General features: G+C 48.2%; 1 protein-coding gene across 3 annotated transcripts in view, besides 4 other annotated features; it reads right to left on the bottom strand.

The window, feature by feature from the left end:
- Positions 1-26316, bottom strand: part of DPYSL2 (dihydropyrimidinase like 2) — a 144145-nt gene that overhangs the window by 3775 nt on the left and 114054 nt on the right. For all 3 annotated transcript variants that reach the window (NM_001197293.3, NM_001386.6, NM_001244604.2), the window contains exons 8-13: positions 19501-19621; positions 10806-10962; positions 10310-10451; positions 6601-6771; positions 1965-2144; positions 1004-1169 (exon numbers count right to left, since the gene is read on the bottom strand). In NM_001197293.3, the coding sequence (NP_001184222.1) occupies positions 1004-1169; positions 1965-2144; positions 6601-6771; positions 10310-10451; positions 10806-10962; positions 19501-19621 (937 nt within the window). The remainder of the gene's footprint in view (positions 1-1003; positions 1170-1964; positions 2145-6600; positions 6772-10309; positions 10452-10805; positions 10963-19500; positions 19622-26316) is intronic.
- Positions 10066-10976: an enhancer, noted in NCBI's record as "H3K27ac hESC enhancer chr8:26500941-26501851 (GRCh37/hg19 assembly coordinates)". NCBI's record gives its function as "activates a minimal SCP1, AML or CMV promoter by ChIP-STARR-seq in primed H9 embryonic stem cells {active_cell/tissue: H9 hESC(primed)}" and the evidence as "EXISTENCE:reporter gene assay evidence [ECO:0000049][PMID:30033119]".
- Positions 15952-16916: an enhancer, noted in NCBI's record as "NANOG-H3K27ac-H3K4me1 hESC enhancer chr8:26495001-26495965 (GRCh37/hg19 assembly coordinates)". NCBI's record gives its function as "activates a minimal SCP1, AML or CMV promoter by ChIP-STARR-seq in naive H9 embryonic stem cells {active_cell/tissue: H9 hESC(naive)}" and the evidence as "EXISTENCE:reporter gene assay evidence [ECO:0000049][PMID:30033119]".
- Positions 16917-17881: an enhancer, noted in NCBI's record as "OCT4-NANOG-H3K27ac-H3K4me1 hESC enhancer chr8:26494036-26495000 (GRCh37/hg19 assembly coordinates)". NCBI's record gives its function as "activates a minimal SCP1, AML or CMV promoter by ChIP-STARR-seq in primed H9 embryonic stem cells {active_cell/tissue: H9 hESC(primed)}" and the evidence as "EXISTENCE:reporter gene assay evidence [ECO:0000049][PMID:30033119]".
- Positions 25578-25867: an enhancer, noted in NCBI's record as "active region_27131". NCBI's record gives its function as "activates an Ori minimal core promoter by ATAC-STARR-seq in GM12878 lymphoblastoid cells {active_cell/tissue: GM12878}" and the evidence as "EXISTENCE:reporter gene assay evidence [ECO:0000049][PMID:35858748]".

The following is a 26316-nucleotide window of genomic DNA, read 5'->3' as shown; positions in this document are numbered from 1 at the left end:
AATACGCCATAGGAATCTGTGGCCCAGGGAGCTGGAAGAGTGGAATGTTCTAGTCATGGGACAAATGAAAGATGGGAAAGAAGTTTCAAGCAAGGAAACTTAAAAATCTGAACCCTTTCCTCTCACCAAGGGGATATCACACAAATTACCCAAGCAAATACAACTAACAGTTCTCAAATGGCCCCATTCTAAGCACTGTACATATATATTAACCCATTTAACCCTCACAACAACCTCACGGGGGAGCAACTACTATTATTGCCATTATACAGGTGAGGAGACTGAAGCACAGCCAGAGCTGAGCCCTGAAGTTAGGCTGTTGAAACTCCAAACTCCACAAGCTAAACTACAATATACTGTAGGAGAGAAGAGAAGTCCTGAAATACCACAGTGTCCTTTCTTATGATGGACCTAATAAATTGAACAAATGTCTTCTTAATATATTAGGTAAAACACAGTATGGGCATTGTGTGACACAAACTGATCTCAAGATTCTGAAACCCAACCAGTCATTAACTATGAAAATACATCTCCAGGCCAAGCTAGGCTGGGCCCGGTGGCTCACACCTGTAATCCCAGCACTTTGGGAGGCCGAGGCGGGCAGATCACCTGAAGTCAGGAGTTCTATCAGCCTGGCCAACATGGTGATACTCCGTCTCTACTAAAAATACAAAAATTAGCCAGGTATGGTGGTGCATGCCTGTAATCCCAGCTACTTGGGAGGCTGAGACATGAGAATCACTTGAACCAGGAGGTGGAGGTTGCAGTGAGCCAAGGTCGTGCCATTGCACTCCAGTCTGGGTAACAGAGCGAGACCCTGCCTCAAAAAAAAGAAAAAGAAAATACATCTCCAGAGATCTGAGTCCACTGTATTTCTCACGTTGGAGAGAAAGGGAATATCATTCACTTCTATTTCTGTGTCCTTTCCAAATGCAACTGTAGCCTCGCCAGCACCAGCGAGCTGGCCCTGCAGAACTGTGCCCTCCCCAAGCCCCAACCCTACCAGACAAACTGAATCCAGACTGGTGCAGGTTCCGGACAGGTGGGGCCTGCTGCTTGGCAGGAGACGTCTTGGCCGAGGAGGCTGGAGTGACTGTCTTGGGCGTCACAGACACTTCACACACAGGTCCGTCATACAGGCCACGAGGAACCCCTCTCAGCTCAGCCAGCTGCAAAACACAAGAGTCCCCCCAGCTCAGGCCACAGCCACAGAGGATACCTCTCTAGAAACCCTCCTGGAGGGAGGATGGGCCTGTGAGATCTAGGGATGGAGGGCTCTCCTTACAGACAGGTGGACAGGTGTTGTGTGGGGCCAGCTCCCACCATGCCAGGCCAAAACTCCCCACAAGGTCCAGTAACTGGTTAACTCTACAAAAACTAACACACCTTACAATTTTTCCCCCAAGACACTTCAACTTTAAACCCTGTAAGAATCCCCTAAGCATGCTGTGAGGCGGATCTGGTATCATGTTCAAGATCTGGCCCCAAACTTTCTTTCCAATTGCATTCTCTCCTTTTAATTCCCTTATAGCTCCATCTCTTTCCTGCTTCACATGCCCTGAATACACTGTACATTTTCTATGCTCATGATACTCTTATCAAATTCCCTCATCTCCCTTCTTTGACTTGACAAACTCCTACTTAACCTTCAAAGCCCAACTCAAAATGTCCTCTCCCCATGACACTCTCCCCAACTACAGCAGTGGCTCCCTCCTCTGGGTCCTTACTCCACACTCCTTATCATAGCATATACCATGATCTCACTTTGCTAGGGCTCTCTGTGGACACGACTGACTCCTTCTCCAGTATTTTAAATGCCAGGAATAAAAAATTCAGGCTCCCTCTTATCCCTGGAATCCACTAAATTCATCTTAATATTCTGTCTCAAGGTGCTTAATAAATGTTTGTGGCCTTGAACTTAATTCGTGATTTAACAAAAAATTCATCAGAACAAAACTACTCACCCTGCTCCTTGCCTTGATACGCTTGTAAACAAAATCAGGGAAGGGCTTCCGGGGAATGTAGCGTCCAGAGCCTTCGGTGACATGCAGGGTGCCGTCCTCCAGGACAATCTTCCCCTGGCTGATGACCACCAGTGGGGAGCCGCGGCACTCCATGCCTTCAAAGATGTTGTACTCGAGAGACTGAGAAGAAGGCAAAGTAAACTCTAGAACAGGCCACTCTGGCTGGACTCAATCCACCCGGCAGCACCCACTGCCCCAACCCCACAGAGACAAAAGAGAGACTCAGAGACAGGGATCCTGTCCCAACTGGGCACCCCAGCAGGCACTTACTTGCTGTGTCTCCATTTCCCTGTCTAGAATATGAAATAACTTTTTCTACCTCTCCACATTAGAAAGAAAAATAATTAAACAGAATAATTGTGTGAAAAGGGTGCATGTTTGTAAATGCTACACAAATATAAAGAAAATGATTCTTCCTATTAACAGAGACTGTGTTCCCACCATCTCCAGCTCCATTCCGGTTGAATTCCAAAGGCCTTCTCTGACCAAGTTCTAAATTTAATCTTGAAATGAGCCATCCACAAGTAGGTTTTCCCACTGGCTAGCCTGGTTTTCTAGTCTGTTTGCGGTGTGGTTAAACTGAAGTCCCTAAATGAAAGGATTGTGGTCACTGAAGAGACATGCCTCCGATAAAATGATTGAGGGCTAGTTAATTTCCAGAACAATGTAGCTATGTAGCTATCCTTCTGGTTTCAAGTTTTTCCGGGTAAAACAGAGACATATCTGTGTGCCCTCTTGGAAAATAGGTGGGGTCTCCATATGGATGTGAGTTTGTGGTTGGTAATGAAGCAACAGAACACAGGAGTCATTGCACAGGAGTCATTCCATCCTGCAGCTTCTGCTAACCCAGTGCTACTTCCCAGATCCCAAATGCCTCCCGCTTCTTCCTGCCTGTTTGGTTCACGGGGACCAATGGCTGTGGCTGAGTCTGGACTAGAGGATTAATAGGTTGCTCCAACCATAAAAAGCACCCTGGGCTTCTGGGAAAGTTCAGACCAGGTTATCAGCACTCAGGGAGCTGGCCTCTGAACAGAGAGCTGTGCTAGCACCCTGCAGTTCAAGATGACATTTCTGCTTAGTGCAGCGGCTGGTAACACGGATTCGGCCAGCTCAGCAGCTCACATCAGGCATGTAAATGCACAATGCCCCGCATACAATGTTGGGTGAAAACAACCACGAGGGCTGTCAGTACATTGCTCTGAGTCTCAAAGCAGTCATGCAGAAGCTACCAAAGGAACCATAGCAGAGAGGCGCCAGCAGGGAGGGAAGAGGACTCTGCACTTGGATTACTGAGACCCAAGACTTAAAATTGTCTTTCATCAATTCTAAGACACTCATCCCTGAAGTCAGAATGTGTCTTATAGCAGCCGGAGCCACGCGGGTACTGCCAGCCTAGACTAAATCCAAGTTCTTCTAGGGGGATATGGGTTTGTTTGTGCCACTGGGTTGGGGGACAACCCCACTGAGGGCATTTTACAGTAAATTCTCAGCTTGACATTGTTCTGGACCACACAGGCGGCATGCATTCAGACCACAAGGCTGGACAAGCACCCACTTCCAGTTCCAATTCTTGGGGGAGACATTTTTCCCTCTTGGCAACCAATGCCAAGGTCGAGGCCTGCGAGATTTTCTGCCACCCCTGTCTGCACAGCAGATGGTCTCCCCAGAGATGCCATAATAAGCACACGCTGGCCCTTGGTGGCCCAGTCTCCTATGAGACTCCTCGTCTTGGGCATGTTTTCTTTCATCGTGGTACATAACCTAATGGAATATCTTAAAATCGATGGCATCTCAGATACGGTAAAATCCAGAAGTTGTGTGACTCTGGGGAGATTGCTTTAATCCTGTCTCAGCTTCAGTTTCTTCATCTGCACCCTCCCGAGGTGTATGTGAAGATGACAATACAAAAAGCCTCATCCCTGGTCATCTCAGAAACAACCTTTGAAAGGGTGTGAGTCATCCTTTAAGGCCTGGATCAAGAGCCATCTCTTCCACATCACTCCACAGCTAACAGTTTATGCCCTGACAACCTCCTCTTGTGCCCTACTGGGTAGAGTATGGGCGCAGCCTCGGCCATGGAGACATCTGCCCTGGGTTCACACCCCAGGTATGCCATTCACCAGCTATGTGACTTTGGATGCATCCCTCACACCCCTGAGCCTCCACCTCCTCATCTGTGAGGGGTAAGTAGGTCCCCCTTTGCAGGACTCATGTGAGAATCAAATGAAATAAAATGAACAAAAGCATCTAGCTCACTATTTGGCTCACAGTAGGCATTTAGAAAATCTTCACTCATTCACTGTCTGGCTCTTTATTGCACTTTGCTAACACTTGCCAGCCCTGCAGCATCCAAGATCTCACACAATGCATGCGTTGAGTCTTGTTGCTTATAAATGAGCACCTAGAAGACCTCTGGGGCCATCTATCATTTTTAAAAGATGGAAGAACCAGCCCCATGACTCTCAGTGACTTAACATTGACAAGTCCAAGGGTCAGATCACAATTCCCAGATACTCAGAGCCTACTCTCCATCAAACCATGATGCAGGGAGGCTTCCTCACTCACCATGCATAGACATTTTTAACCTACATCCACACAGGCTCCCTAAAATTACTCATCGGGCCAGATGCCTGGAAAATCCAAGCAAAGGCTTAGCAACAGGGCTGTCGATAATAGTTAGCTAGATGCTCTGAACTAAAGCTAATTAGCCTCATGGTAGGAAACACTGTACTATGCAGGGAAAGTCTCCTGGTTGCATTTTCCCAGAAGATGAACGAACAGGCACATGCTTAGTGCTGGCTCTTTAAAACAGGTGGGGATGGAAAAGCACCGCTTTGAAAGTCAACATTTCTTCCATAGGTCACCTGGAGGTAAAAGCAGGGTAGGTTGGGGTGAAAATGTCTGGAGGGCAGAATCTGTCTTCCCAAATCTTCTCTCCTTCCCACTGTCTCGTCTTCTAGGTTAAGAACTCCAAATGCAAGTTCCCCAGCTAGGTCATTTGTGTCTTAAATAACGAGCCCAGCCAGCCATTTATAGCACCTCTGGGGGAAGCAACCTTGCAAGAGAGGGGAAGCATTTTCCCCGTCTAAGCCTGACCAAGAGGCTGCATATGCAGTCTGGCAGGGAAGAGTCCTGAACAATTTTGGGTTCTAATTCTGGCTCAACCGCAAAATCGCTATGTAACATTAGACTGGTCACTTAAGCTCTCTAAGCCTCCGTTTATTTATTTTCCCAAATTGGGATAATAATACCAGTCCCTTTATTGAGAAGGTCAAATGAAAGAGTCAATGAGAATGTGAAGTTACAGGCACATGAATAGGGAGGTTCATGGGGCAGGGCCCTAGGATCCCTGACCATAAAATAGCCAGTCAGGACACCCAAGAAGTCATGATCTGGGCTGTAAGGGGCGCGATCATAAGGCTGCGCTGCCAGGCTGAGCCAGTGAGTGGTGGTGGGAGAGGGAGAAAGACAGCTTTAAACACAGACTTGAACAGTCTTCTGAGAAACACCCACCACCCTGGTCCTCACAGGTGGCAGAAGCCAGAGCTGAGCCTGAGCCCATTGCAGCCCAAACACCTCTGTGTGTGCAAATGAGAGAGGACTGGGACAGGGCAAAGTCCCAGGGTTGTCCCGGAGAAATGCCAGAAACCTGCCCTAAGCTGTCGTGGTGTGTGGGGGAGGTGTCAGTGCTTGCTGGCCTGAGCTGTCTTCAAGATTCAAATGAGTTCCTGACACGAAACTCTTCTGCCCGAGGCCCATTTCTTTTCCAAAGCTCTCCCTCTGGGCATATTCCTTCAGTTTTTCTGCCTATACCATGTTGCTTGTGAGGAATCGGCAGTGTCTAACAACTCTGCTTAATGTCTGCTGACCTCACAGAATCACAGGACACTTGGAGACCTCGTCTGAACCCCTCACTCTCAGCTGAGGAGCGTAAGACATTAACAGACTTGCCCTGGGTCCTGTTAACAAGAGAGGACATCTCTAAGCTCTAAAGCCCAGACCCAGAGGGAAGAGATACCCAAAGCGGCAGATCCTAAAACAACAATCAAATGGCTGGGGGGTACTTCTGTTAGGGAGAAGTCAGTCAATCAATTCCTTTAAGATAATAAGAATGGCTGTCATCCAGTTTTCTGCATGGATACTGGCCTGAGAAAACAATGGCTTAAGAGGATCAAAGTCCCCAGTGGGCATCTCAGGAGAGGACATCTCACTGCTTCATTGAGGTCCCTTGCACCAAGTACTGCCATGAGAAGTGCTGTGCCAACCTATGAAAATGGAGCGGTGCCTGACTTCTGGAAGCTTTGCACATCCTGACATCACTTTAGAGGCTCTAAAGGTCTATAGATAGAGAGGCTGTGGTATTCCAAAATGATTATGAGAGTAACAATCTTATTGACCTCACTAAAGAAAATGAAATAACTATTCTTTTCCCAGCAAATTGCAAATCATAACATCCTCAGTCGAGCGCATTCCCATCACAGCAAGTTCTTTTTAGAAACCCTGGGGCTCTCCCTCCGTCTGTGTCTCTGTGACTGTAATTCGTTTGGATGGGGTCTGCACAGTTAACAGGTCTTACGCTGTTGTGTGTCTTGGCAGAGATGGTTTTAACGCTGTCGGGGTCCCAGATGACCAGGTCGGCATCGGATCCCACAGCAATGCGGCCTTTCCGGGGGTAAAGGTTGAAGACTTTGGCTGCATTGGTGCTGGTCACAGCCACAAACTGGTTCTCATCCATCTTCCCAGTGACCTGAGGGAGACAGCATAGGTGTGCACAGGAGGCACACAGCAGAAACGAGTTAAAAAGTTACTTTTCAATAACAAACTATTGATACACACGACAGCTTAGATGGATGTCAAGAGCGTTGTGCCAAGTGAAACACAAACCGTCTCAAAGGTCACACACTGTATGACTCCATTTCTATAACATTCTCCAAATAACAAAATGGTAGAGATGGAGAACAGATGAGGGGCTAGATGGGTTCTTCCAGGGTTAGGGAGGGTGGAGGGGAGGAGCAGCAAGAGGTTGGTCTCTGAAATGCTGGACTAGACCTGCATCTTGATTGTGGTGATGGTCACATGACTCCACAGGTGGCCACACAGCCTAGAGCTATACCCACACATTGTGACACTGTCAGTGTCCTGGTTTTGATATTGTTCTACATTTATATAAGATGTAACCATGAGGGAAACTGGGTGAAGGGTACCCGGGACCTCTCTCTGTACTATCTTTGCAACTGCTTCTTAATCTATAATTATTTCAAAACAAAAAAAAATTCGTTTAATTTGCAGGGGTGGCAATCCCTCTTTAGGAAATATCATTTGGCCCAATTGGCTGTCCTTTTCAACAAAATACAGCCACAGATCTAGGCTTCCTTTTTTTTTTTAATCTTTTTTTTGAGACAGGGTCTTGCTGTCATTGAGGCTAGAGTGCAGTAGAGTGATCACAGCTCACTGCAGCCTCGGCCTCTCAGGCTCAAGCAATCCTCCTCTTTCAGCCTCTTGAGTAGCTGGGAAGACAGGCATGCACCACCATACCAGGCTAATTTTTTTTTAAGAGACAGATCTCACTATGTTGCCCAGCTGGGCTCGAAGTCCTGGGCTCAAGCAACCCTCCCACCTCGCTCTCCCAAAGTGCTGGGATTTCAGGCATGAGCCACCATGCCTGGCCAGATGTCATCTTCTAGTCTAGCCAACCTAGAAGTCTCCGCCCCACATCTGGTTTTAGGTGCCAATCACATTTCCTCAAGTGCTTCCCCTCCCAAACCCACTCTAAATCCAGTAAAAAACTGGTCAAAGGAAATAAGCTGGTATTAAGAGGGAGAAAAAAGTACAAATGGCCACTAAGCATAGGAAAAAATTTTCACTCTAATCAGTAATTGAATAAATTAAATGTAAAACAATAAGACACAAAATTCACCTATCAAATCAGCAAACAATGGATCTTTGCTGATGACACCCAGGTGGTAGAAGACACTGGGGAATGACATATATTGGTGGTGGCGTATAAAGCAGTACAAACTTTCTGGAAGGAACTTTGACAATATGTACCAAAAATGTTAAAAATATATGCATCCTTTGACCCAGCAATGCCACTTGTAGAAATTTCTCCTACAAACATAATCAAGAATGTGTCTATTATAAAAATGTCATTCAAGTTAAAAAAAAAAAAAAACCAGAAACAACATAAATGTTCAACCAAAGACATAAATGTGGCTGGGCGTGGTGGCTCACACCTGTAATCCCAGCACTTTGGGAGGCTGAGGTGGGTGGATCACCTGAGGTCAGGAGTTTGAGACCAGCTTGGCCAACATGGCAAAACCCCGTCTCTACTAAAAATACCAAAATTAGCCGGGCATGGTGGCAGGCACCTGTAATCCCAGCTACTCAGGAGGCTGAAGCAAGAGAATTGCGTGAACCCGGGAGGCGGACGTTGCAGTGAGCCAAGATCACGCCATTGCACTCCAGCCTGGGGGGAAAGAGTGAAACTGTCTCCCCCAGCCAAAAAAAAAGAATTATAAGTGAGTCCTGGCCAGGCATGGTGGCTCACATCTGTAATGCCAGCACTTTGGGAGGTCAAGGCAGGTGGATCACCTGAGGTCAGGAGTTTGAGACCAGCCTGGCCAATATGGTGAAACCCTGTCTCTACTAAAAATACAAAAATCAGCTGGGTGTGGTGGCACACGCCTGTAATCTCAGCTACTCAGGGGGCTGAGGCAGGAGAATCGCTTGAACCCGGGAGACGGAGGTTGCAGTGAGCTGAGATCGCACCACTGCACTCCAGAGTGAGACTCCATCTCAAATAAATAAATAAATAAATGAGTCCCAGTTTAGCACTCACATGGAAGAGTCTGTTATTATAAATCAACTTTTTCAAGTATATTTAAGCAGGTGGAGATATTTCCATGATAAAATTTTTTTTAAAAAAGACTACAAAATAGTATGTATGATGCCAATATTATTATTATTATTATTTTTTGAAACAGGGTCTCACTGTGTCCCCCAGTCTGGAGTTCAGTGGCCCAGTCATGGCTCACTGCAGCCTCAACCTCCCAAGGCTCAGGTGATCCTCCTGCCTCCCCCACACCGAGTAGCTGGGACTACAGGCACCTGCCACCATGCCTCACTAATTTTTGTATTTTTAGTAGAGACAGGGTTTTGCCATGTTGCCAGACTGGTCTTGAACTCCTGGGCTCAAATAATTCACCCACCTCGGCCTCCCAAAATGCTGGGATTATAGGCATGAACCTGGGAGTGGGCCCAGCTGTATGATGCCAATATTATTTACACACTCACGCATGTCACATATACATGTGTGTGCCTGTGTAGTAGCAAAAAATGGAAAGACATTTGCCAAAATGTTAATTGTGGTTATATCTGAAACACAGTGACTTTTATTTACTTCCTTATTCTTCTGGAAATAAGGATATATTCTTCATATAATCTAAACAATTCACTAAAAAACAGAAAACCTATTCTGTTAATATATTTTAAAACATTAAAATGAAAAAGCCCAAAGATCCTCTAAAGGTCAGTGTATGTTCATAGCAGGCCTACTGGAAGCTGGCAGTAGAAGACATGCTAAGTCCAGAGAGCCCTAAAAGACACTTTTAAGGAAATTGAGCCCATTTCCAAGAGTAGACGAGGATTAACTGAGTAAGTCACCTGGTTGCTAAGGAAGTTTGTTCCTGACTGACCCAGAGTCACATCTAAAGCTGTGTAGGTTTTCAGTCTTTACTGTTCCATTGATGATAATGATAAGAAATATACAGGTAAGCCAGGCGTGGTGGCTCACACCTGTAATCCCAGCACTTTGGGAGGCCGAGGCATTGCTTAAACCCGGGAACTCGAGACCAGCCTGGGCAACATAGTGAGACCCCCATCTCCACAAAAAATAAAAAAAAAATTAGCCAGGCATGGTGGTCTGAGCCTGTGGTCCTAGCTACTCAGGAGACTGAGATGGGAGGATCACCTGAGCCCAGGAGTTTGAGGCTACAGTGAGCTATGATTGTACCACTGCACTCCAGCCTGGTGACAGAGCAAGACCTTGTCTGAAAAAAATTTAAAAATTGTTTTAAAAAGAAATATATATGTAATATTTAGGAAGAAATGACCTATTAGAAGAGGTCTTAGATTTCCAACCCTCAGAAATATTGTCATATAAGTACTGGCTTCTAGGATGTCCTCCACTGTCTGTCATTTCAAGGCCTCCATGAGCCCCATGGCCCCCAGATGAGGAGGACAAGGAAGGCTGAGAGCCACCAAGGAGTGAGGCCATCGCTCCTTACCACAGCCTTGTCCCAGATGACGGACATCCGCTCCTCAGTGCCATTGGTGCCCTCCGGAATCAGGGTGAAGTTGTCCTTTCCTACAGCCTTCTGGGCAGTGTTAAACGTGCAATGGGCACTGCCCGTGACCTGGAGGTCTCCACTGCAAAGAAAATGCATAACGTGGTGCTGCAGCTTCGTCAAGATGCTGTGCGCCTACACCTATTTGGTGGGCTGTCTCATGAATGGCATCACACCAACCCAAGTGGAGTCCTTTTGACGCCTCCTCTCCCTTCTTGGCTTGACTTTCAACATGGCCCAGGTTTTTATCCAGAATCCCCTCCCAAAATGGTGCTAGAATGACAATTCCCTGTACTCATGTAGCCAACCTAGTTTGGTGAACAAGGGTCTCCCAGTTTTATGGCTGCTCTTGGCCACCATGTTGTTTTCGCCTAACAGGTCAGTCTGGTCTGAAGAAAGACAGAATGTGAAGTGTGAACAAGTCGCCAGGACTCACCAGGACAGCAAGGAGTTGAGAAAGTCTGGAGTGGTTGGATCAGGGCTCAAGGGTGGGGAGGTGACAAAGGCAGCAGCCTTGGCCCAGTTCTTGCTCCAGTAATGGGAGCCGTCCGTTCCCAAGCTGGCAGTGATGGGCTCGCCATACACCACAGTTCCTGACAAACAGAACACACAAGGTTCAGTCCAACACAATGCAGGGGGAAGGGAACCACCCCTATGAGGAGCCACTGCCTGCCCAGCAGCACCCAGTGCACTCACTATCCCTTTATAGGAAATATCAGGCTCATCTCGCAGATGAGGAAACTGAGACTTGGAGAAATTCAGTACCTCTGCCAGCCTGTCATGAGCTCCCCAAGATTCCACCTTCAGCCCCTGCTCTTCAAACAACACACCCTCCCTATAGGATCCCAGACATCCTGAAGGCTTCTGTCTCCTACGTTGCTGATTTTCAATTCCATTAATCTCCTGCTCGGATGGTGTCCAGGCATCCGGTCCCAGGTGCCATCTGGACTGTTCTTTATGCATGGCCTATGGCACCTCAAATTTAACCTTCCTGTTCATTCACACAATCTTTTCACAATTCCTAGCCCTTCACAGTGTCTAGCTCTGACTAAAGGTCTGCGGGAGGAAATCACACATGACATCACCAGGGCGAAGTATTTCAGGGCAAATACATAACCCCCCAGATATCCTCAAGAGACAGCCTGGATCCCTGAGTCACTGCCTGGAAGAAGCTGTCCGTTACAGCCACCATCTTCACAGCTGACTCTGTGAGAGAGAAACAAACTGGACATTATGCCACTGGGATTTCAGAGTTTCTGGAAGCCTAGCCTAACTATATTAATGCAATGTCCAAGACAAACATCAACTCCCTGATGCTCAGATCATGTCCTCTTCTCTGTCCATTCAGATGTAAACCAGAAAGTTGAGACTCATGTACATTCGCTGAATGCCAATACCTTAGTGCCTTCAATACAATCGTTCCTTAAATCAGGCCCTCATCATCTCTCGCCAGCTCATTCCAACAGAGCCTCCCAATTGGACCTTAGATTTACGTTTGCTCTCCCAACCCCGCTTCCTACCTCTCCATTCATTCCGCATGACACTTCCAGAGTGATCCACTATAATATAATCTTTCCATGGCATTCTCTTGCATAAAATCTTCCAAAGGAGCCCTTCTGCATTCAAGGACTTAAAAGAAAATCCTCCTCACCAAAGCATCAGATGCTCTTCACTACTGGAAGCTGATCTCCTCCTTTAACATCGTCCAAAACACAACTCGGGTCTCACACCCTTCACCTGAGAATCCCATCCTCCCCTCCAGTCATTGCCCAGTTCTGAATTTTTGACTTTCCACCTGATGGAGACACCTTGAAGATCATTTACCTGCCTGCACATAGTAGGCACTCCAAAAACGTGTGTTAAATTGATTAAATGGTCTAATATGTTATTAATTAAAGGCATCCAAGCTGGAATTTGATCCCAGGTCAGCTGAATTCATCTCTCACTAGCTCCCCCCAGCACAGGGCTAACTCCCACCCCACAACAATGCAGCCAAGCTTCTCTACTTCCCCAAACACAGGGCCCTCAAGGGCAAACACACCACAGTCAGGAATGTGTTTTCCTTCCTCTCCACAGCCTTTCCGAAGGCCTTATCACTTGATGATACACCACAACACCCTCCCTGTCGGCCACTCTGAGAGCTGGCTCTGCACAGCTGCCCCCTCCTGCCTCAGGAATTTCACAAAGGACTCGCTGTTCAGCTGGGGAGTGCTGGAGGCCACAGCAGGCAGCTCACTCCAGGCCACCAGCAACCACGCCCCCACCCCCAGCAGGAGGGAGGACTCCAAACCCAGGGAAACCTCCTCCAGAAGGAAGCCCCAAGGAAGAAAAGGGCCAGTGCTAGGTGCTCGGAAGGCCTAGGAGGGTCCCCTTGGCTCCTGGCCTGCTCAAAGTCTCCCATGCAGAAGCTGGTGCAAAGAGCTATCAGGTGGCTGCACAAACCACTCCGGTTCATCCCGAAGTGGAAAAACACCACATAATGAGAAGGCCTTGGCCGCTGCCAAAGACCTTTATAAAATGCAAATGGCTGGGCAGGACCCAGCAGCAGTCATCAGTTCTCAAAGGATCTCTCTGGCTCCCCGCTTTTGGTTCAAGGATCAAACAGATCTGGTTAAGCAAAACTCTCCTGACCCAGCCAGGCCTGGAGGTCCCGCTGGCCACAGTCCATCTAAGCACAAAGGTGAGGGCTGTGTAAGTCACAGGAAAACAAGAGATGCGTGGCCCTAAAGGCTTCCTGCTTTTGTCCACATGAAGAAGTTCATGAGAGCAGAGGCACTTGGAGATAAAGAATGGCTGGATAGTCTCTGAAAATCCCTGGACACACATAAACATTTTCCTGAGTTTCCTGTAACTTGCCGACGCTCATCCTCTCCCTGTGCCTGCTCCTCGGCCCTGCCTCTAGAAACTTAAGTACAAGGAGGGGCTGGTTCTTGGAAAGTGGCCTGAATACCATGGGGATGAATGCTGCTGACCACAGGCTTATCTCTCCCTGCGAAACACAACTCAGCTTGGGGTGGGGAGCTGCTCTATGAGGAGCTGGATTCCCCTTCTCTCTGTGCACAGGAATATCTACCTCACTTCAAGAGAATGAACTTGGCCTTCTGCCTCTAGAAAACCCAAAATGGGGTCTGAGCTCTCAACGCCACTGCTGAGCAGAACCTGCCTCTTTAGACAAAGGCTGAGTGGACTTCTGGGCCACAGCTAAGCAAAGATAGGGACATTCAGGGGCAGGGGCAGTGGATGCCAGGGGAGGGATGGAGCCATCCTGTGGTTCATTTCTACTTTGCTCTGTTCAACTTCCCTCAGGGATTCAGAGGTCCTTGCTGTCTTTTGGATTTTCTTTCTTTCTTAGCCCAGAATCAGCGACAGGAGTTTAGCCATCATGTTCCAGGCCTCTACCTCCACAAGAGTATGATCTATACATAGAGTCTCTGCCTCCCATCCCCAGTGGTCTGGAGCTCCCAACCCAGGGCTCCCCTCCTGGGTCTATAAACATTCACAGGAGGGTGCTGTGGATGCACTTCCGGAGCTCAGCCAGGCCACAGACACCCTTGAACTGCATGCCAGAAATAATTACCACTAATAATAATAAACCACGAAATGGGCTTAATTGGCCCTTCTGCACTTCTCTAAATACACTGCTGATGCTATCTGGGTGCCCGTTAGACCTTTGTGATTTTCTTCTCCAGGTAAAGTCTAAACTGAAGGATGTGACCAAGCCAGCCTCTGGCAGGCTCTCTATAAGGCCAAGAACTGCAGGGGATGGGAGCTGGTGCTTATTTACAACCAGTCTGGGGCCCGTGTGCATTCATGAAGAATAAATGGAAGGCTGCGGTTTAAATATGCTTGATAGCTCCCAGCTCTGGCAGTCATTTCCCATGGACGAGAAGCAGGAGAACAAATCCAAAGTGGGAACTGTGGGAAATCAGTATCTGTAGCTCCATATGCAGCCACCAAAGCACAGTGAAAACCAACTGGGATGGACAGACAGACAGACAGTTACACACGCTCTCACCATTCTCCTTTGCCTTTCCAAGAATTTATGCCAGACCCTAACAAACAGCCTGGGGACTGTGCTGTCAGGTTTTCGTAGCAAGAGTGGTTCTAGAAGAACATCATCTTAAAAATGAGTTTTCTGAATGGGTTCTGAGGTTTCTGAAATTCGTTCTCAGATCTGATTGGGTTGAAAGGCACTAATGATTCTACGTCCAGTAGTAAAAAGAGGAGAGTACAGGGCATGATGGGACAATAGAGACACAGAAAATATTATTAAATACTCCCAAAGGCTTCTAAGAGGCAAGGTTCTAGGTGGGTGTGTAGCAGATACCTTAAACATTTTTGTAAAATTAACAAGTATAACGAGAGTGGTTGGTTGCTCCTAATTGTACTAGACAAAGTGGGGGAAAAAAGAAGAATGAATTCAGGGATTCAAATTCCCAGCTCAAGCACCACATGAATGAATCAAAAGTTTCTATGTCTGCCCTTATGTCCCATAGATGCAGAGCTGAGATGGCTGAAAACCAGAAGTAGGATCTCATCCTGGCAGTGGCTGAATTACAATGCAAATTGAATTCCCAACCTTGCAGACCATCTGCCGTTAAAAGTGAGGGCATAGATTGGGAAGGAATTCTGCCTTTGGACTCCGATGCCAACATCAGCTCTTCCTTGGTTCTCCAGTCTGTGGCCTGATCTGCAGATTTCAGACTTGCCATCCCCACAATCGTGTGAGTTGATTCCTTAAATATAATTCTTTAAAATAAATCTTCCCCCTTTCTCTACTGTCCTCTCTCCTCTCTCATCCCCCTTTTCTGTTCAAGATTGCAACATCAAGCATAAGCTTAACTAAGGACTCATCCCCAAGCTGAGGTGGTCCTCACAGGCCCTGCGACCATGTGCTTCTCATAACGTTTGAGTCACTCCTATTGACCCACAGGACATAAGAGGTCTTATCTCAAATTGAGGTTCCCAGGGTTTAATGTCCTGAATGTTTCTGCACCCGGGTTATGGGAGAGGGGTGAGGAGGAGGACGGAAAAGAATGTCCATCAGATGAGGTCATCAGGCACTGCCCACGGCCACCACTCACACATGGAAGGCATCAGCAGTCATGCTGGATTTCACACATGGACAAAATGTGGTCAGAGGGAGCCCATTCTAGAGAAGAAATCCCCACAAGGGGCCCTCCATGGAAAGAGAGGTGGCCAGGAGCCTGGAATCATGGTTTCTAATTCCCACAGGCTACATGAACCAGGGCAAGATTTTCAATTTCTGCATTTCTACTTCTTCCATGAAATGAGCCTATTAAGTTGATCAATGTCTAAGTTCTTTTCAAGAGTAAAAATGCCCCCAGGTCGTCTGGTCCTGGCTCTGTGTTCATTGCCTCAGCTGCCAAATTGGGTTGATGACACACCACTCCCCGGCTGAACACGCCATCCTGCTGAACAGCCACAGAGCGGCTGATGGAAGCAGCGTGTCTCTCAGCGTGTCTCTCAGGGAAGGCAGGATGCAGTCGTGCTGGCTCAAGCAGGCACGTGAAAACAGTTCTCATTCGTTTCACCTCATATCCTCACTTCCCCGAACTTCTCTTGTCTTAGATTCTGGACCAGCAGGTCTTGGCTGGGGAGGTTCATGTGGATCACTAAGAGAAGGAGACATTACTACTCCTCCCAGGGCAGGATTATCATTTTTCAAAGCTCACATTTATAGCAAAATTTCGAGTCTGCTTACGCAGCCTGACCTCTCTGAGACTCCCTTCTGGGCTCAACCTCTCCTGACTTGTACCCCTTTTGTAGCCCCGACTACCTCCCAATGTGACTTTCCACTCAGCATCCTTCCCCTGCAAGTCGAGGAGCTAACTGTGGTTGGGACCATTTATTTTCCTGGTACGCAGGCCTAAAGTATCACATCATGAAAATGCATTCAATGAATTCAGAATCTCTCCATTCACAGAGGAAGAAATGCAGCATCAGAAAGGGGGCTGTGGCAGTGCACACACTTGCCTCAGGGGGCCAGAAGAACCCACCTGAAGTGGACAAACAATTCTGAGCAGAAAACCCTTGTCCAGGGTCAGCAGGCATCTTTACTCTGCTTTCCTCGCAAGCTCAAGGTTAGACCAGCCCCTTCATCCTGTAGTCACAATAACTGGTCACGCTTCTCATCTCCATCTTTACCTGCAATATCTCATGTACACATCATCATCACCCTGTGAGATGAGTCATGGTTACTATCCTCCCCTTGCAGATGGCAAAAGGACATGTGGAGATGATGAGGAAGCACCCAGCATCACGTGGCTGGTGTACAGTGGAGCTGGGGTTTGATCCAAGAATGAATACTGATCCTGGAGGCAAACAATTAATACTCCCTTACAGAGCTTTCCTTCTTGGTCATTTGGGAATCCTTGTGTGTACATTACCCATATCTCTGCTGGGTGTCAGGCCACTGTTTCAATCAGGATTCTTAAGGAACTAAGCCCCAACAGACACAGGTCACAAGCATCACCGTATTAAAATAATCTCAAAGCATGAAGGTAAGTCAGTCAAACATTTACACGGATATTTGTGGCCTCAAGTTAGATGCCTGACAGTCAAGCCCCAATTCCACTATACATGAGCTCTGAGCTTCAGTTTACTCAGCTGCAAAGTAAAACAAAATATAAAAATTCCTGCCAGGGCTGCCTCCCAAAGTTGCTAGGAAGTTCCAGCAAGATGGGAAAGAGCCTAAGAGCCTAGGAAGTTAGCTAGGACTTCTCATTCCTGCTCATTAGCACCTGAATGCACTGGAAATTCCTTTCTGGCAGCTCAGGTTTGTCTAAAGCTCAGGCTTTCACAGATTAATGGGTAACAGTTTGAATGCAAATGCCATCCTGGGAACCATGGTGTGGGCACATTTGGACTCACACTCAGAAGGCTCTGGAAGGGAACAGACTAAAGTCCCCTCCTACTGCTCACCCCATAAGACACACAGTGTGTCAAGGTTATAAAGACAATAGGGGTGGCCAGGTGCAGTGGCTCATGCCTGTAATCCCAGTATTTTGGGAGACCGAGGCGGGCAGATCACCTGAGGTCAGGAGTTCCAGACCAGCCTGGTCAACATGGTGAAACCCCGTCTCTACTAAAAATATAAAAATTAGATGGGTGTGATGGGGGGGCGCCTGTAATCCCAGCAACTAAGGAGGCTGAGGCGGGAGAATCGCTTGAGTCCAGGAGGCGGAGACTGCAGTGAGCTGAGATGGCACCACTGCACGCCTGCCTGGGCGACAGAGTGAGACTCCATCTCAAAAATAAAATAAAATAAATTAAAAAAAACAACAACGGGGGCTACCAGGCACTGAGTTGGGGTAATAGGTCCAAACTGGGCACCGCAACAACACACTCCAGCTCCGCAACTCCACCTGAGAAGAACCCTGAGGGACAGAGAGGAGGAGGCCTGCGGCAGGGCTGGCCCACGACTCCACCTCCCCCAACTAAAGTCTGGGACATGTAGGACCCCTCCGTCTTCTCATTTGGACAGGTTTGAATATGAAGTAAACTTTAGACAAGGTCTCTATCCAAAATTACGTTGAAATGTTAGCCTAACTCACGTATCATCATCATCTAGGTACAGCGCAGTAGTAAAATACAGAAAATAAGCCGTCTCATTCTTTCCCCCTTTCAGACACTATGCCAACCATCCCCACACTACGTGGGGGCAGCAGTGCTGTGGCCGGCCTTCTGTACAGAGGCTGATTCCCACAAATGCGCTGCCTTCTTGCAAATGCGTGTCTGGGTGGCCCAAGGCCACCGATTCCATCGTCATCCACAATATCTCCTAGAAAACAACTCAAAGCTCATTCTGAGTAGGTTACATTATTTTAGGTGAATGCTTTCTTATTTCTAAAAGGCAATTCCTTCAAGGTGCCAGGAGAAGACAGAAAGGCAGCAACCATTTGATGTGTAGCCTAAGGACAGAGGCCCCAGGAGCACTCCAAAGAACCAGGGCCAGGAGTCGCTGGGTCCGTCTGGAAGTCATCATCTCTGGGACAAGATGACTCAGTCATCATTGAGCAATTTGTTCCAGGGCTTGCAGCAAGTCACCCGCCAGTGAAAAAAATCCCACAGCCCACCTTGATCCATGTGGATTGCATGATGCAGGGAAGTAGAAACCAAGCCATAGAGGTCAAATGGCTCCCTTCCTAACAGGGAAAGAAAGACACAGAGAGAGAATGACAGAGGGACTGAGAAAGAGTCAAATGAAAGATAAAATGAAACAGAAATCAGGAAAGAAGGGAAGAGAAGTGGAGACACAGAGATGGAGAGATCCCAACAGGCAAAGGGGAGGAGGGAACATAAAAGGGAGAAAGGAAGGAAGAAAGAAGGGGACCCTTTTATAATGTTCATTTCAGATCAGCCTAAGATCCACCATCAAAATGAACGACATGCCCTCAGGCTTTCTGTACGAGGAGAGAACTCCCAAGCATAAAAGATGCAGTGTGATTATCGAAATTCATGTTGTCAGCGGTGGGTGACAACAGGGCTCAGCTGCATTCAAAATGCATGAGGTGCCTCATGGGGCGTCCTCTAGAGGAAGCACTGGAAGCTGCACTTCATCAGTTAGTTACAGTGGACACCCTAGTAATACCAGAGACCCAGCCCCAGTTCAGAATGCATCAAGAGAGTTTATCAAGCACCAAAACATCTGGATGTGATAGTGTCTGGGGCAAAATGCATCCCCACACCCCACAAAGCTGCCTTACATACCCCGGCAGAAATCACTCCCAGCCTTGGAGGGGAGGTGCATGATGTGACCAAGGATTCTGGGGCGGATGGAAACTGACGTAATCTGTGTATGTGCCTAGTTTATTTCAACCACATCAAAGTAAGTCCAGCTCTTGCACGGGGGCTGGGGGACATGTGCCTGCCCACCCCGCCTTGGCGTGCACATGGCTTTAAATAGATACTAACAAGGCCGCAGCAGTGGAGCAGAGGAGGAAACTGGAGCTCCTGCCTTGCCCGGCTGTAATTAGGTTAATGCCAGAACATGGTGCAAGTGGCCCACTTGGCATGAGGGTCTGGAAAAGGAGCCCTCCCTAGTGAGGAGCCCCCCTCCCCTCCAAACCTCCCCACCTGCCATCAGCCAGTCCGGCCACAGCACTCACCCTTCTTCCGTGCCTGGGCGATGACCTCAGCAGAGCTTTTGCTCATCACCTTGGTGATATACAGCGGGCAGTTGGTCTGGTTGGCGATGGTGATGGCACGATTCACGGCTTCGGCCTCGACCTGCAAAACAGCAGCAGAGCATGAGAATGTGGCTCAGCCCACCCCACGAGCCGCTACCTTTATCCTCCACCCCAGAGAGAGGCTAAGATGAAGGCGAGGCTGCTGGTCTCCAAGGTCCTACCCCAGGGGACAATTCAAAGGAGTATGACTTGCCTTGTGTCTCTCAACATTGGTTTGGTTGAACTAATTCCCTCCTGTGGCTGGACACAGTGGCTCATGCCTGTAATCCCAGCACTTTGGGAGGCTGAGGCAGGTGGATTACCTGAGATCAGGAGTTCAAGACCAGCCTGGCCAACATGGTGAAACTCCGTATCTACTACAAATACAATTAAAAAAAAAAAAAAAAAAAAAGCTGGGCATGGCAGCAGGTGACTGTAATCCCAGCTACTTGGGAGTATAAGGCAGGAGAATCACTTGAACCCAGCAGGCAGAGGTGGCAGTAAGCTGAGATTGCACCACCATACTCCAACCTGGGCAACAAAGTGAGACTAAGTCTCAAAAGAAAAAGAAAAGAAAACTCCCTTCTGACCCTTCTCCAGGTGCAGGCAGCAAGCCTGTGACATCAGCACTGGCCCAGAGTCTGTAAGAAATGCAGATTTTCTGGCTCTGCCCTGGACTAGAAACTCACAGGCTAGAAACTCTGAGGGCGGGACCCAGCAATGTGGGTGATTTTCACACTTACTAACGTTTGAGAACCGCCACACACAGACACTGATTGCTCTCAATTCCATATATTCATTCTGCTCCCAGGGTCTTGAGTCAAGATATTCAGTGATGTGGAGTTTGTGCTGGGCTCCCATTAAATGCTCATGAATGAAGTCAGCATCACCCACGAAACAATGCAGCCTCACAGGGCTCTAGGAACGGAGTGGGCCCCGTTTGTCTACACCAATGGCCCCCTGTGTGTGAAGCACAGACATGGCCAGCCACAGCCTGGTACGACCTTCAGCACAAGATTGAAGAACTGCTTGAGTAAATAATCTGGCGCTTTAAATCGGATGTTCCAGTCAGTGTGGTGGCTCACACCTGTAATCCCAGCACTTTGGGAGGCTGAGGAGTGTGGATCACCTGAGGTCAGGAGTTCGAGACCAGCCTGACCAACATGGTGAAACTCTGTCTCTATTAAAAATTAAAAAAAAAAAAAATTAGCCAGGCATGGTGGCGCATGCCTGTAATTCCAACTACTCAGGAGGCTGAGGCAGGAGAATCGCTGGAACCCAGGAGGCGGAGGTTGCAGTGAGCTGAGATGGCGCCACTGCACTCCAGACTGGGTGACAGCGAGAGACTTCATCTCATAAATAAATAAATACATCGGATGTTCAGATGAATGATATTTCAAATCCCACATGATGACTGTGGAATATCTGATCAGGCAAGACTCCCTGGATCAAGTTCTATCCTACAGAGGAATCACCAATCAGCAAGGGAAGGAGCAGGTGAAATTGTGGAAGGCAGATCTCAGAACATCACTGGCTCCCTCTCCATCCCAGCAAAAGGGCTCTGGCTTGAACTCTTGGAGGGGAGGGACTGGGGCTTACTCACTGCTTAGTATCTTCCATGCCCTGCCCCCAATAGCTCCCAATGTCCTGTCTGATACACAGCAGGTGCTCAAAAATGTTTGCTAAGCATATAAATGATTTCATTTTATGTTCATGGTATTTCAGTCTAGGCTGCTCCACAGAACACTGTTATTTTTCACAAGAAATAACTGAGCCCCTATAACTGAATTGGTTACCTTGTCTCCACCAGAGCTTGGCCAAAAGATTAAATTCTGTAATTGCATTAACTGGTAATCTAATTTAGCAGAGCTGAGACAACTTCATTCACATTTGGCCTTTCAGGCATCAACTATGTGAAAAGGGATGTCTAGAAATCCACAATCCAAGCAAAGGGCTCTTGAAAAAGCATATTAAACACCCAAATGTTTTTCATTCCTAAGACAGCTGAAGGAGAAGCCCTCTCTCTCCACTTACAGCAGAGATGCCTGTGGCCCGGCAGCACCAGGCGGGGACAGGGACGTCTTGCATGGGTGTGAAGTGTGAGATGGACTCCACTAGAACCCTCAGCACCTCCCAGAGATACAGGTGACTACTCCATTTATTGTCCCAACACGGGGTTTCGCCATGTTGCCCAGGTTGGTCTTGAACTCCTGGGCTCAAGCAATCTTCCCACCTCGGCCTCCCAAAGTGCTGGGATGACAGGTACAAGCCACTACGCCTATCTTCTGATTTTAATGATGAGGTAACTCAGAAAGGGAAATGACCTGTCCAGGGACACAGAGCAGTGTCAGGACATCTGTCATTCTACAAGGCCTGCTGGAAAGTGCCCGTCCCTGTGAAGGGTTCTTCATTATCCTCATCTCCAAGTCCCCACTCTCTTCCCAGACATCAGTCTTACAGCTCAGAGCCACTGTCAAATTCTATCTCTACACTCACTTTCTGTCTACCTCTTTCTCCTCGCCTTGTCCACAGTCCCTTCAGAAAGGATCACTTTCTTATCTGTTTTGCATCCCCACAATGCCAGGCACTGCCCGGATTGTCACGCAGGCTCAGTCGCCACTCCTCTCAGCCACAGATGGTTCAGTTCCAGATGTCTGCACTCCCTAGTGTCCTTTCCAATCCTCTGGGTGGAAAACGAGGGAAAATCCTACTGGGTGGTCTCACATGGTGGGTTGGGAAGAAAGGCCTAGTGGGTTAGGAACATGTTTTGGAAAGTTCAAATCCAAGAGAACCATCATGCTAGTGATGGATAGGTCACCAAACTACAGAGAAGTTACACTGGGATGTGTTTCATTCCATCAGCAGCACCTCCCCAAGTAGACTGGGAAGCTAAAATTCACACAAAATTGTTCCATACTTGTTCTCTTTATCACCCACACAGGGTTTAACACACAACAGATCCCTCTTGACAAACTCACCATGAGAGGAGACGTCAGCCGGCAGGTGCCTGTGGGCTTGAGTTCTAATCACGCTCTGCCACTATCCAAGCCTTTCAAACCCCCTGCATCCCCCCTCCTCGCCTCACTGGGCTGTCATATGGCTAAAAGGACTCAGGGCCTGGCATACAAGAGGGGCCTCTAAATCAGCTGAAAAACTGCATCCCATACTGGTGCATCCCTGGATCTGCCAGCCCTCAAGGAGACTCCATAATCAGTTGCTGGGGATTCTGAAGTTCTCAGGGCAACAGCTGCTGGGCCTAATCACGTAAAAATGGTTTCAATTTCTCTGGTTGAAATAGCAATGACATGGTTTGGCTCTGTGTCCCCACCCAAATCTCATCTCAAATTGTAATCCACACATGTTGAAGGAGGGACCTGTAGGAGGTGACTGGATTATGGGGAAGGTTTCCCCCATGCAGATCTTGTGATAATGAGTGAGTTCTCACGAGATCTGATGGTTTAAAAGTGGCAGTTTGCCTTCTGCTCACTCGCTCTCTTGCCGCCACATAAGACGGAACCTGCTTCCCCTTCACCTTCCACCATGATTATAAGTTTCCTGAGGCCTCCCCAGCCATGCAGAACTGTAAGTCAATTAAATCTCTTTTCTTTATAAATTACCCAGTCTCACGTATTTCTTTACAGTAGTATGAAAATGGATGAATACAAGCAACCAGAATAACAACTCTCTGAGAGCATTTTCCTCTTCAGCAAAGCCAGGGCCCTTTCTTTCTGTGTTTGTGTACTTCTCTGCAGAAAGCAGGAGAAAGAAGGAATGCAAGCCCCTCAGAAGGCTCTAAAACTTGAAGAGTGAGGGTCTCAGCAGGAGCCTCATGTAGCATTTGCAGAAGTGGCATTTGCTTTTCTCAGAGGACATCTTCTCACCTCCTTGTACAGCTGGTACATGGCAGGCAGAGGGACTGGCTCCCAGTCACCAAACGGGAGGAAAGCAGGAGGAAACTTTCTAATAAAGCCCAGGTCCAGGTGTGGCTTTAAGCTGAGTATGTGTACACTGCGGGAGGGGTTGGGGTAGCAGGCAGGACCCTGCACTTTCTAGCTCTCTGCTTTGATAACTGGGCAGTCACTTAACTTCATGCTTCTGGAGTGTCCTCATCTAAAGAGAGATAACCAAGGAGCCCACTGCAGCACAGCTCTGGTACCACCACTCATGGGCAGTAGAATGTAAATGGTGCTCCCTGAATACAGCCATGCAGCCTGCATGAATGGCATCCCTGGAGTTGTGGGAAGGAGATGTTGTACCTCCTGCACAGGACAGTTACAAAACTGAAATGTGGGCCAGGAACACAGTGTCCAGCACACGTGAGCACTAAATGAAGGCAGCTTTGAACAGGGCTCACGTGAGAACTGTGTCAGCCCTCCACCTCTCCCGGACTCTGTGCATTTCCAAGGCCCAATCCCAAGACTGTTTCAGGGCGGAACAAAGCCCTGGGAACAAAGCCCTGGGAACAAAGCCCAATTCCAGGGAGGTCAGGGCTGAGAGCAACCATGGCTTATGCTGCCATGGTTTAAACCACCCGACAGGTGGATCCTGGGGAATCTGGCGAGGGCAGTCACAGAAGCCGGCCCAGAGGGAGAAGTGAAACCACAGAAACGAACCCTTGCGGTGTCTGCAAAGGGGGATGGTGCCTGCATAGGTGTGTGCAAGCGCATATGTGCATGTGTGTGTGAAAATGTGTGTGTACACCTATGCGTGTCTGTGCTTGTACATGTGTATATGTGTATGTGAAAATACGTGGGTACAACACATATGTGCGTGTCTGTGCCTGTGCACATGTGCGTATGCTAAAATGTGTCTGTGTGTGTACACGTGCATGTCTGTGCCTATGGACGTGTGTGTATGTATATGTGTGTGAACGTGAGTGTGTGCACGTGTGTGTGCTTGTGCACGTGGATCTGTGTGCACACAAATGTGCATAAAATCAGCCTCGGCCGGGCGCGGTGGCTCACGCCTGTAATCCCAGCTCTCAGGGAGGCTAAGAGGTGGGAGGATAGCTTGAGCCCAGGAGTTCGAGACCTGCCTGGGCAATATAGTGAGACCCCGTTCTCCAGAAAAAGGAAAAAAAATAAAATAAAATAAAATAAAATCAGCCTCAGGCATGTTTATGGTCGGCTGATCTTAGCCTGCTCTCGCCTGCAAGCTGTCCCCTGCAATCACTGTCCACCAGCCACGGTCTCAGCATGGGGCTTCCCTCAGCTGACACAGGGGCTTGCCTGCCTCCCTCATCCTCGGGCCTGTGCCAGGCCACCCTTTCAGCCTTTAGCACGCATGAGAAGGTTGATAGCTACAAAAGGGCCTGCATCCCTGGCCTGAAGCAGGAACGTGCAATCCTGAAAATGTCACGGCTTCCATTCTGTCATCTGGGGAGAGGAAAATGTCCTCAGGGCCTCAAATGCTACTGAAAGTGTCTTGGAGCATGCAGTTCTGTGTATCTGCCTCTGCATGTGTATGTGTCTGTGTATGTCTGTGTCTGTGTCTGTATGTGTCTGTGTGTCTATGTGTATGTGTGTGTGTGTAGGTGTCTATGGCTGTGTCTAGCTGTCTGTGTGTCTATGTGTCTGTGTGTGTTACTATGTGTATGCATGTGTGTCTATGTCTGTTGTGTGCCTACCTGTCTGCGTGTGCCTATGTCTGTGTGTACATGTGTGTCTATGTGTGCATATGCATGCAGCAAGAAGGATAGAACAAAGCGTGGACCCTGACTGTGTGCAAAGCATTCCGAGTGGCTCCCACTCTCGTCTTTCTGCCTGTCTTGACTCCTTTCTCCTCTTCCAGCCTCATCCCTTCCCCTCAAGTCTGAAAGGATCCCAACCACCCCCTCCTGCACCCGAGGCAGTACACAGATGGTGCCTTTGCTTCCAAGCCCTCCTGAATCCACTTCCTTATCACAGGGACCGGCTCCCCTCCCACACTGGTATGAACATGACCACATCCCAAACTCAGGGTGGTGGCACGGTGCTGACACTCAGTGACTCAGTGGCCACAGCCCTGCAGGGAGCTCTTGCCAAGCTCCTCCCTCCCAGGCTTCTGGAGCCTCCTCACTGTCAGCCTCCACTCAGGCCCTTGGTGATCTTCCCCCACTGCTCGGCGCCAGTCCCTTTTCTGCCACTTCCTCCCATGAAGGGGAAATCCTGGTGGTTCCCTGGAGATTCCCTGATTGCACGCTTCACTCGAAGCTGCAGGCTGCTCCCTAGTCAGGGCCCCTAGAGCCTGACATCCAGCCTGTCATTAAGGAACCAACTTCTGAAAAGTATTTCACAGCCACAAATTCTAACTGATGAACACAGGTTCTCCATTACCTAAGACGTGTGCACCCTCCCTTCGAACTCACACACCTCACCAAGACGGTGAGTCTCCACCTTTGAGCCAGCACAGGCCCCTGCTCTGAATCTTCCCTCCATAATTTTAAAAGATTCTGTCTACCAAACTCTGCATATCATGTGATATCCTGTGCAGGGTTACCTTGGAAAAACAATTCCCCACACGCCTTCTAGGCATTTAGAAGAGCTTTTCCATCCTTCCAACTACGTTTTGGTGAATTTTGGTAAGATATTGGAGACCATAAGTTGTGAACCACTAAAATCTACATTGCAGGATGCCAATGAAGAACTGTTTGTGTCTATACAAGCAAGGGCTTGAAGAATTACAGACAGAAAGAAGAATCTTCTGGCGAAACAGTCCACACCACCTTACCCTCAGGAGCAATCTAACACTTCACTTTGCCTGCGTAGACAGACAGAC

The sequence above is a fragment of the Homo sapiens genome, chromosome 8 (genome assembly GCF_000001405.40).
Source record: "Homo sapiens chromosome 8, GRCh38.p14 Primary Assembly".
Taxonomy (NCBI): Eukaryota; Metazoa; Chordata; class Mammalia; order Primates; family Hominidae; genus Homo; species Homo sapiens.
Note: the sequence above shows the minus strand (reverse complement) of the source record. Positions and strands in the feature narration are given on the sequence as shown.